The sequence below is a fragment of the Homo sapiens genome, chromosome 4 (genome assembly GCF_000001405.40).
Source record: "Homo sapiens chromosome 4, GRCh38.p14 Primary Assembly".
Lineage (NCBI taxonomy): Eukaryota > Metazoa > Chordata > Mammalia > Primates > Hominidae > Homo > Homo sapiens.
The window spans coordinates 12,652,002-12,664,149 of record NC_000004.12 but is presented as its reverse complement, the minus strand read 5'-3'; the positions used below and the strand labels follow the sequence as shown (position 1 = coordinate 12,664,149).

General features: G+C 38.1%; 1 annotated feature.

The window, feature by feature from the left end:
• Nucleotides 5,537–6,119: an enhancer, noted in NCBI's record as "OCT4-NANOG hESC enhancer chr4:12659655-12660237 (GRCh37/hg19 assembly coordinates)". NCBI's record gives its function as "activates a minimal SCP1, AML or CMV promoter by ChIP-STARR-seq in naive H9 embryonic stem cells {active_cell/tissue: H9 hESC(naive)}" and the evidence as "EXISTENCE:reporter gene assay evidence [ECO:0000049][PMID:30033119]".

Genomic DNA, 12,148 nt, shown 5'->3' with positions numbered 1-12,148 from the left:
AAACAAACAAACAAAAAATACAAAAAATTAGCCAGGCATGGTGGCAGGCGCCTGTAGTCCCAGCTACTCGGGAGGCTGAGGCAGGAGAATGGCCTGAACCTGGGAGGCAGAGCTTGCAGTTAGCCAAGATCGTGCTACTGCACTCCAGCCTGGGCGACAGAGCAAGACTCCATCTCAAAAAAAAAAAAAAAAAAAAAAAGAAAGAAAGAAAGAAAAGAAACCCACACAACAAGCCCTGAAGCGAACCTTTACCATCTTGCGATACATCTACTCCTGTCAACATGAAACTTATCTTGCTTGATTGAGCCAGATTAGCATAAGGACAATATAAACAGTAAACCCATTTAGCAGCTGTGATCTTTGAGGAAACGTAGTAACATAAAGAGGGAAGCTTTATGGCCTGGCTCGCGACATAAGAAATTATGCTGATGTCATCTCTGCCATCTCATATAAGCAAGACAGTGCACATATTCAATCTAGTTCCAATATATTCATTTAAACAACAATCATATAAGATAAAAACAAAACAAAGTAAGACATCCCATCTTCCCCTGCAAGGTTGTCTAATCTCTTCATAATTTGGGTCACTTTTTACTCCATAATCACTGATGAGGTATTGGGAAAGGGATCAGCCCATTATGCCAGCTCTTGTCCCTGGTCCAGACAAGGTTTGTTCTCAGAGGTATCTTTCTTGTTAACATCTTGGCATCTTTTGCTTTTTTGTACCTGCTTATGAACACAAGAGTTTCTGGGCTCTTCTCAACAGCTTGGCACCAGAAATAATGCTTAACCTTTCTCTCATTTCTAGAATGAATAGATGAGAAAAAAATCCAAAATTACATGCCTCCTAAATATCAATTAGGGGAAAAGTGAAGGCATGACTTTACAAGACAAATGAAGGTCGAGTTATAACAGCATTGTCCTATCTAATAAAAAGAAAATGAAGGGTGACAGAGGGCTTTAACACTGTATCAAACTGAAGACCACAGGGAGGGATAAATAGCTAAAGAAGCTGTGATTTTCCATATTAATGCTTAAGAGAGGAGGGCAATACATTTTCCTTCATTTTGAAATAAATGATAATTAGCAAAGGGAGGTATATTGAAAAGAGGCTTGAATAGAAGGTAAGAAATTATGGCTTCTAATCTAAATTGTGCAACAAGATGGGTAATGATATGGCTTAGATGTTTGTAATCCCCAGTGTTGGAGGTGGGGCCTGGTAGGAGGTGTCTGGATCATGGGGGTTGATCCCTCATTAATGACTTAGCTCCAGCCCCTTGGTGATGAGTGAGTTCTTGCTCAGAGTTTATGTAAGATATGGCTATTTAAAAGCATATGGCACCTCCCTTCTCTCTTCCTTCCTCTTTCTCTATTTGATGTGCCTGCTCCCACTTTGCTTTCTGTCATGATTGTAAACTTTCTGCAGCCTCACCAGAAGCAAATGCTAGACCTATGCTTGTACTACCTGCAGAAACAGCCAATTAAAACTCTTTTCTTTATAAATTATAAAGCCTCAAGTGTTCCTCTATATCAATGCAAAAACAGATTAGCACAAGTAATAATGTAATAATCACCATTGTCTATTTGTGTTAGAATTGTTGTATATGAAATGGGTTTTTTACTAAGCAATATTTAAGGAGATAAAAGGTGTGGACATCAAAACTAAAAATATGAACACTAGTATCGCATGAGTAGAGGGTGTAGGAATAGAAGAAGAAGCTATCTTAAAGAAAGTCCCAAAGGTTCCAAGAAAATAATATTATCTTACCACATAAATACATTTTGTCTAAAATGTATCAAACACTCCAACAGGCCACTTTTGCTAAGTTATCACAGGGACTTGAGGGAATTGGAAGTTAGTCTCAACTCGCCACCCTGCTCTGGGTAACAATAAACAAGTTATAACAAGTATTTTGTCTTCAATTTCCCCGAAATGAAGGTCTCAGACTTGCTGACCCTCAAATTCATCTTTAAGAACTAGCCAGAAAATGACAATAGAGCTGATAAAATCTGTGTTTCTGCAGTTTTTATTCAGACTTCAAATATATTATTGTGGGATAATACAGAATTTCCTGATGCCAGGAAATTAATGTGTCTGTGACTTTATGGGGAGAGAAAAGTGGATGGTTTGAGGCTGGTACTTTTCCTGGAATCTGTCCTATAAGTCTCATCTCTTGGCTGATTTTGATCTGCATTCTTTCTGTCTAATAAACTATACCTGTGAATGTAATAACTTTCAGCAAAATCTGTGAATCTTTCTAGGAAATTATAGAACCTGGGATAGTTTGGGGAACCATCAGAACTTGCAGTTGGTGTCAGAAGTGAGAGCGGTCTCGTGTAGACTCTGTTGCTTAACTTTGCAGTTGGCTACAACTCCTGCAGGGCTTCAAAGCTCTGCCTCAGGGGACTAACTATATTAGAACACAGCTTGGAGAATTCTATACCTAATGGCATCATAAGAGAAAAAATACATACACACACAATGGAGAGCTTGGTAGAGACACCATTGACTGGTGGAAGCTATTAGCTCCATGATCCAAGCAAAACAGCAGACCAGCCAGAAGTCTAATAGAGAGAAGCAAGGAAAGAGAAAGCTAAGAAAAGCTTTTCTGGGTTGAGAGTCTACACTGGAGGTCAGAAAGTTTGTGCACACATGTTAGGCTGTACAGATTCAGGAGGAATCCTTGTAAAATATGGGACAGACTTGAGTACTTCCCCAAGCCACACATATAGACTCCAATCACCACAGACCAGAAGCCTCAATGGCACAATCTCTGACCAAACACTAAGAGAACAATTGGCTACTCTGGTCCAGGGAGGACTCCTAAGGACCCAAACATAAAAATAAAATCACACTTATCCTTGGATGTCTGGAAGGACGATGTGCCTGATAGCTTTATTCTGTCACAAGTGATTGGCAAAGGAAATGGCAAGTGACTCATAAGTTTCTGGCTTAATGTGAGATAAAAACTGTTAACCCCTGAACTGTGATAATACTCTCGAGCCACACACACATCCAATAACTAAGATGTCAATTGAAAGACAAGTGTTGATGAAGATGTGTAGAAATTGGAACACTTATGCACTGCTGGTGGGAATGTAAAATTGTGCAGCTACTTGGAAAACAGTTTAGTAGTTTCTCAAAATGTTAAACATAGAGTTACCATCAGGTCCAGCAGTTCCATTCCTAGGTATATATCTACCCAGTAGAAATGAAAACATACCTTCTACAAAAAATTACATATGAATATTCATAGCAACATTATTCACAATAGCCAACAAGTGGAAATAACTCAAATGTCCATCAGTGATGTATGGTTACATACAATGTGGCATATTCATACAATGGAATATCATGTGACAATAAAAAAGCCAGTCACAAAACACTACATGTTATAGGATTCTAGTTCTATGAAGACTCTGGGATTGTCACATCTAGAGAAAGTGAAAATAGAATATTGTTTTCCAGGGGCAAAGTTAAGAGTTTGGGAGTGAAGGGTAATAGTAAGTGAATACTAATTAATATAAGGGTTTCTTTTCTTAAATTTTTCCTTCCTTCCTTCCTTCATCCCTCTCTCCCTCCCTCTCTCTCTCTCCCATTCCCTCCCTCTCTCCTTCCCTTCCTTTCTCTTTTCTTTCTTCCTTTTTTTCTATTTTTCTTTATCCCTCTCTTTCTCTCCTTTTCCCTTCCTTCCTTCTTTCCTTTCTTGATGATATCCAAGAGACAAGAAAAGGAATGCAGTTGAATGAGGATAAAAGAGACAAACAGCAGGTTTGTGCTGAAGGGTAAAATGTACCCATATATCCAAAGGGAGGCTTTAAAAATAACAGAAATATTTAGGAACTTAAGGGGCAACTGTTCATGGACTTTTTTTCTGCCGTGAGTGATGAAAATTGTTTCCTCATCTTTCTTATGGAATGTACAGAGAAATGTTTGTTGCTCATTGATATAGCTATTTTTCTTCTTTTTTGTGTTGCCTGTAAAATTATTCCATCTAATTTTAAAGTTTTGTGGCAAAAAATATCATCAATCCACCATGGAGAGCCACAGTATGGTTTCTATCACATCAAATAATAACAGAGTGCCTAACACTCAGAACTGTGTAGCAATACATCTAAGTGCTTCAAGGTAGTCAAGAAGACACTAAAGAACTATCCCTTAAAAAGCTGTGACAAATATATACTAGATTCATTAGGTGATTTCAATTTCAAAATGATTCCAATTGCTGTAAATCCTAACCCTCAAGGTGATAGTATTAGGAGGTAGGGTTTTGGGAAGGTATTAGGTTATGATGGTGGAGTCTTCCCAATTGGGATTAGTGCCTGTATTAGTCTGTTTTCACACTGCTGATAAAGACGTACTCAAGACTGGGCAATTTACAAAACAAAGAGGTTTAATGGACTTACTCACTATCATGGTGGAAGGCAAGGAAGAGCAAGTCACATCTTATATGGATGGCAGCAGGCAGAGAGAGCTTGTGCAAGGAAACTCCTGTGTTTACAACCATCAGATCTTGTGAGACTCATTCACTATCAAGAGAACAGTGCAGGAAAAACCCTCCCCCATAATTCAATCACCTCCCACTGGGTTCCTCCCATGATATATAGGAATGGTGGGAGTTACAATTCAAGATGAGATTTGGGTGGGGACACAGCTAAACCATATCAGTGACCTTATCAAAGAGATCACAGAGAGCTCCCTAACCCTTTCTACCGTGTTAGTGACATAGTAAGAAGGTGCTAGGAAACAGGACCTCCACAGGCATTGAATCTGCTGGTGACTTCATCTTTAAACTTCTCAGCCTCTAGAACAGTAAAAAAAAAAAAAAAAAAAAAAAAGCTTATCGTCTATAAATTAACCGCTTTGTAGTAACGTGTTACAGAAGTGCAAACAGACTAAGACATTATTTCTTAAACTCCAAGACAGTCCTTGTAAAATTAAAGCTTTGGCCTTTGACAATCATTACCTTGAATAGAAAGACAGCATTTCATACATTTTAGTTATATCTGGCCTCTCTTACTCATAGTGCGTTAGAGTATTTAAATATAATTTTGAATGAATGATTGCAGAGGATTAGAAGTTGAATTGATGATCTACAAATATAGGATATTAGGCTTTTTCTAGAGTCTCCATAGTCTAGGAAATGTTATTTCAATTTGGAGAAATGTTGCCTTCCCTATTTTTCCAAGACCTCTACCTTATTTGATTCTAATCATTGCTCATCTGATTGGAATCCTATTATTTGACAATCTCACTATTCTCTGAATACAATTAAGAGCACGGGAGAAAATGGCCCCTGGGCTGACAGATAGTTGTTACAAAGAGGAAGTCTTCTGAAATACACCTCACACAGCAGCCTGGGGGTTGGGCACTGCCATGATTACTACTTGGTTTTGAGACTTTGAGGTAGTTTAGGATTATTCCAGAATATACTCTCACTGTTCAGATTGTGTAATCACAGCACATCCTGCTGTTTTAATCAGAATAAGGCCACAGTGTGTGTTGGACCCCTGAGTTGGGGTTACCTGGTTTTATTTTTAACGCACTATGTCTAGTTCCCTGAAGGATTTAGCAAACATCATGTGGTAAAATTTTTGAACTTTTAGTTTACAAAAGAAAATGGGCAGCTCAGACATTGGATTATGTATCTACAATGAAGCCCAGGTGTCAGAAACACTTATGCAACCTATAAAACTCCCTGATGAGGGTTTCTTTCCCTAGCATCACAGAGAGTTCCGTTTGTGTTTACGCAAATGAGAAAACAAATCAGTAGTTAACAGGAACACTGCTGTGCTGACACATTAACATTCACTTTATAAGCAGAGGATGTCAATGAGTGCAGGTTAGCCCAGTGAGGACCCTGCCAGGCAGAGGAATGTGCAGAGTGTTCCCCTCCTACTGGGATGGCAAAAATAGATCCATCTTTGTCAGCCCAAATCAACACAAAAGTGGAGTGGCTTTGTGCATGTGGATTGATGTAATATATTACATGCATATGGATGATTGGATATAAAGTTATGCACAAGTAGCAAAGATCCTAGCATTAGTCTAACTGTATGTATTAGTTTCCTGAGGTTGCTGTAACAAATTATCACAAATTGGGTGGCCTAAAACAATAGATGCTCATTCTCTCCTGTTAAAGGAGGCCAGAAATCTAAATCAAGCAGGCTTGGGCTTTTCCACAGGCTCTGAGGGAAAAATTCTTCCAGGTTGCTCTCCTAGCTTCTGGTGGCCACCGGCCATCCCTAGCATTCCTTGGCTCAAGACAGTGTAATTTAAAACTCAGCCTCTGCTTACACATGGTTGTATTCCTTTTGTTTGTGTCTGTGTCCACATTTTTCTCTTCTAATAAGGACATCAAGTATTGGATTAGGTTGTACCTGAATTCAATATGACCTCATCTTGAATTAATTACATCTGTAAAAATTCTATTTCCAAAAAGCTTACCTTCACAGGCCCCTGGGTCTAAGACTTCACAACAACATTTATTCTAGAATCTGATCACCTTGAACACATATGAGGGCTGGTGAAAAAAGGGCTCACATTCTATGCCTTCTGAAAGAGTAGCAGGGAGGGGTAGTGTGTGAGGCATAAAGCAAGCACTGGGGTAGAGCTAGAAGGAGCCCAAAGAAGGCCTATATCTGCATGAGGCTGGCCCAAGGTTGGGCTGTCAGTCAATAAATCTGCATTAAATTTCACCATAAGTCAGACACTGTGGTGTGTATTGGTAATACTATTGTGTACAAGATATACAGGTCTCTGGTCCCAAGTGGGATAGGAGAAGAGAGGCTGATTATACGTATAGCATGGAGTCTGGTATGCCCATTGTCTCTGGTTCATTTTCCCGTTTGATTTATGCTAAGACTCAAAGACACTGAGCTAGGAGTGAAATCAGAAACAGTGAAATGTGAACGTGCACAATGTGCAAAACATCAGAAGCAAAGGACAACAGTGTCCTAGGTTACAAAAGGCCAGGAAAGTTTTGATGCATTTTGCTTCAAACTAGCATATAGGGGAAGCATGTTAGTACAACTCCTGTGACAATGAAACTGGCCAAGAGGCATTTCTGCAGGCTGGAAACAGCACTGTATTACTTCCCTATTGCTGCAGTGACACATTGCCACAAACAGTGGCTTAAAACAACATGCATTTAGTATCTCACAATTTTGGAGGTCAGAAGTCTGAAATAGGTCATGCAGGATAAAAATAAAATATTAACAGAGCTGTGGTCTGGATCCTCTAGAGGAAAATCTATTCCTTGATTTTCTAACTTCTAGGAGTGGCCCACATTCCTTGACTTGAGGCTACATCTCTTGGACTTCTGGTGCTGTCGTCACTTCTTAATCTGCCTCTGCCTCTTCTGCTTCCCTCTTTCACTTGTAAGGACCCTAGTCATCTCAGTGGATACATGTAAATAATTTAGGATCATCCCCTCTGGATCATCTCAGGATTCTTAACTTTATCACATCTTCCAAGTCTCCTTTTCCATGTAAATGAACATATGTATAGGTTTAGGGATTAGGATATGGACATCTTTTCATGCTCCTTCTTCTACCTACCAAAAGCACTCTCAGTCAACATTATCTGAAACCTGGACAGCAGAGGCCTCAGCTGGACTGGTTGCCAAAATTAGCAATCATTTGATCAGGAAAGGCTCTGGACATTGGTCCCCTTTATCCTTGGAAGCCTCTTTGTGTTCAGGTAAATATTAATTTACAATAGATACTTGTGGCTGGTATTGTTCATTGTGTGTGTATAAGCTCCTGAGAGTGGAGATAAGGGATGCTTTCATGCCCTCTCTTCAGGTATATTTAACTCTAATCTTAGTACAGGCATCATGTTTAGTTTTCTGCATATACAACCTATGCCCAGTTCAAATTTAATCCTGCCAAAATTCCCTGTCACACATACAAAATATAGGAACATATTGTGCATTGTGCATATCATGTAATTAATATATAAAAATGTTTATATTCAATATGAATGATATATTTATCATTGAAATTGTTATATATAATCTGTATAATGGATATATTTTATAATCATTGCAATTTATAATGTGAATATTGTGCTGATACTAATATGAATACTATTATTTATATACATATATCTTTATAGAACTATATTAAATATATATAACACATATGTATTTATTTTCTTAATATAGCTTTTTACATTCCTTTCCTAGGATGATCAAAGTGGATTGAACAGAGAGTAGTATAAAAAGAATAACAGACTTTACAGTAGACTGTGGAGCACAAAGTAAAATTACAGACAAGAAGCATCATGCATTGAGAAATTGCTTTATATCTTATATTGCATTGTTTAATCCTCTTATAATTGTATGGGATGGTTAAATCATAATTATGTCCATTTTACATATAAGAAAACTGTAACTGAGAAGCCAGTGGTTTTTCTATGATCAGACAGCCAAGCATGTGTCAGAATGTGAGCTGAATTCCAGATTTTCCGATTAATCCAACTCTGTCACTTAACAGCACTCTAAACTTGGCGCATTTGTGCAAGTGTGAATAAAGGTGTTGGAGATAATGGCTCATTCATAGAGACTGTTAAGGGTTAAAGTCATAAAATGAAAAAATACATAGAAGATTTGATCAATTGTAAAACACCATGCAATTTTTTGTTAGAGAGCTTGCCACTGAATGGATATAAAGCTGTGTTAAATTGGGTGGAACAAGCTATTCCATTTATAGAAGTTCAGAAAGGGTTAATGTCAAAGTATTACGGAAGAGATTGTTACCAGTGCAAAATAATCTGCTTTGATTAATTTAATTTCATACTCAAAATTTCTTATTTTGTTATTGATTCCACTGTAGAGTTGAAAAGCAAGAGTTCAGCAAGGATAAATAATCTTTTTTGATAGTGACTGGGTTCAAAATTAGAATGTCTCTGGAAGCTATATTCTTTTTTTTTAATTTATTTATTTATTATTATTATACTTTAAGTTTTAGGGTACATGTGCACATTGTGCAGGTTAGTTACATATGTATACATGTGCCATGCTGGTGCGCTGCACCTACTACTCGTCATCTAGCATTAGGTATATCTCCCAATGCTATCCCTCCCCCCTCCCCCCACCCCACAACAGTCCCCAGAGTGTGATGTTCCCCTTCCTGTGTCCATGTGTTCTCATTGTTCAATTCTTACCTATGCATGAGAATATGAGGTGTTTGGTTTTTTGTTCTTGCGATAGTTTACTGAGAATGATGATTTCCAATTTCATCCATGTCCCTACAAAGGACATGAACTCATCATTTTTTATGGCTGCATAGTATTCCATGGTGTATATGTGCCACATTTTCTTAATCCAGTCTATCATTGTTGGACATTTGGGTTGGTTCCAAGTCTTTGCTATTGTGAATAATGCCGCAATAAAAATACGTGTGCATGTGTCTTTATAGCAGCATGATTTATAGTCCTTTGGGTATATACCCAGTAATGGGATGGCTGGGTCAAATGGTATTTCTAGTTCTAGATCCCTGAGGAATGGCCACACTGACTTCCACAATGGTTGAACTAGTTTACAGTCCTATCAACAATGGAAAAGTGTTCCTATTTCTCCACATCCTCTCCAGCACCTGTTGCTTCCTGACTTTTTAATGATTGCCATTCTAACTGGTGTGAGATGGTATCTCATCATGGTTTTGATTTGCATTTCTCTGATGGCCAGTGATGGTGAGCATTTTTTCATGTGTTTTTTGGTTGCATAAATTCTTCTTTTGAGAAGTGTCTGTTCATTCCCTTCGCCCACTTTTTGATGGGGTTGTTTGTTTTTTTCTTGTAAATTTGTTTGAGTTCATTGTAGATTCTGGGTATTAGCCCTTTGTAAAATGAGTAGGTTGCGAAAATTTTCTCCCATTTTGTAGGTTGCCTGTTCACTCTGATGGTAGTTTCTTTTGCTGTGCAGAAGCTCTTTAGTTTAATCAGATCCCATTTGTCAATTTTGTCTTTTGTTGCCATTGCTTTTGGTGTTTTAGACATGAAGTCCTTTCCCATGCCTATGTCCTGAATGGTAATGCCTAGGTTTTCTTCTAGGGTTTTTATGGTTTTAGGTCTAACGTTTAAGTCTTTAATCCATCTTGAATTGATTTTTGTATAAGGTGTAAGGAAGGGATCCAGTTTCAGCTTTCTACATATGGCTAGCCAGTTTTCCCAGCACCATTTATTAAATAGGGAGTCCTTTCCCCATTGCTTGTTTTTCTCAGGTTTGTCAAAGATCAGATAGTTGTAGATATGTGGCGTTATTTCTGAGGGCTCTGTTCTGTTCCATTGATCTATATCTCTGTTTTCGTACCAGTACCATGCTGTTTTGGTTACTATAGCCTTGTATTATAGTTTGAAGTCAGGTAGTGTGATGCCTCCAGCTTTGTTCTTTTGGCTTAGGATTGACTTGGCGATGCGGGCTCTTTTTTGGTGCCATATGAACTTTAAAGTAGTTTTTTCCAATTGTGTGAAGAAAGTCATTGGTAGCTTGATGGGGATGGCATTGAATCTGTAAATTACCTTGGGCAGTATGGCCATTTTCACAATATTGATTCTTCCTACCCATGAGCATGGAATGTTCTTCCATTTGTTTGTATCCTCTTTTATTTCCTTGAGCAGTGGTCTGTAGTTCTCCTTGAAGAGGTCCTTCACATCCCTTGTAAGTTGGATTCCTAGGCATTTTATTCTCTTTGAAGCAATTGTGAATGGGAGTTCACTCATGATTTGGCTCTCTGTTTGTCTGTTATTGGTGTATAAGAATGCTTGTGATTTTTGTACATTGATTTTGTATCCTGAGACTTTGCTGAAGTTGCTTATCAGCTTAAGGAGATTTTGGGCTGAGACAATGGGGTTTTCTAGATACACAATCATGTCGTCTGCAAACAGGGACAATTTGACTTCCTCTTTTGGCTAATCTCCACTCACTTTCAACAATGTGCATGTCCTCAGTGGGGAAAAGATGCATTTGCATTTATTAGCACTCTGGAGTACTCACCCATTATTTGAAGGGAGGCATGGTCCTGCAGGTAAAAAGGAGATGGACCCATATTCAGATGATTATAACATAAAATCCTAATTATTTAAATGAATAAAGCCTTATCAAATTGACTTCCTAAGGTTCTCAACCATCTGTATTTTTGTTTTTTCCTGCAAGTGCAGTCTGGCTTTTCAAAATTCTGACAGTGGTTGCAGGGAAAGCCAGGAGTATTGAAAAGAGAAGAAAGTTCTTTTAAGGCCTCAGGGCAAGCTCTGAGTTCTCTAGGTGGATTTGCTTCACATTCTTTGGTGAAACCTCTGTGCATATCAAAATCTTTTGCAAGACACCATTCACTGTTCCTTCAGATACATAGTTCAGTGATGAATGTTGACCATTCCTCCACTTCCATGTGCATATTTGTAACAAACTCAGATCTCCAACCTCTAAAATAACAAATATAGGTTTGCAAATTTTCAATTTTTTTTTTGGTTTTTTTTTTTGAGACAAAAGGTATTATTTTTTAATCACTTGAGTTTACATTAAATTTTAATTTATTTAATTCCCAAGAAACTGCCTGCCATAAACACCTGGAATGCATTCTTTTCCAGTCTGGAATATAGATGCTTCAGCCACTTTCCACCCAGGTGCCTTTTGTAACACCTACTCATTATAAACGGTTACTCTTGTTACCCCACTCAGAATGTCTGCCCAGATGACCTTTTCTCCCAGAATGAGTTGGTTATGTTTTGTTTTTACAGAGAACCCCGAGCTTATCTAAAATATTGAGCAAATTGAGGGTGGAAAGTTTGTATTTAAATCTGTAATGCCTCCCATAGAATTTGAATCAAAGAGGGAATTACTTTAAAAAATTAATTAATTAATTATCAGTAAACAAATGGAGAGCCAACAGAACAATCTACAGCCCAAATGGAACATTGTCATGAACCACATGAGTTTTACACTGAGAAAAGTTGTCTTGCTAACCTTAAACAATTAGGTAACACCCTTTCAGTATTTTGGACTCTAGTTCTGTTCTCCAGTATTTCCAGTTTTCTTCCTCTGGGCATAGGGCCAGATTTTAGTTCGCCCATGCAGTCCAGTTTAGACATGACCAGGATACTTATTTACGTCAAGGAAGTGCATGTGTCTCCTCTGGGCAGAATAAT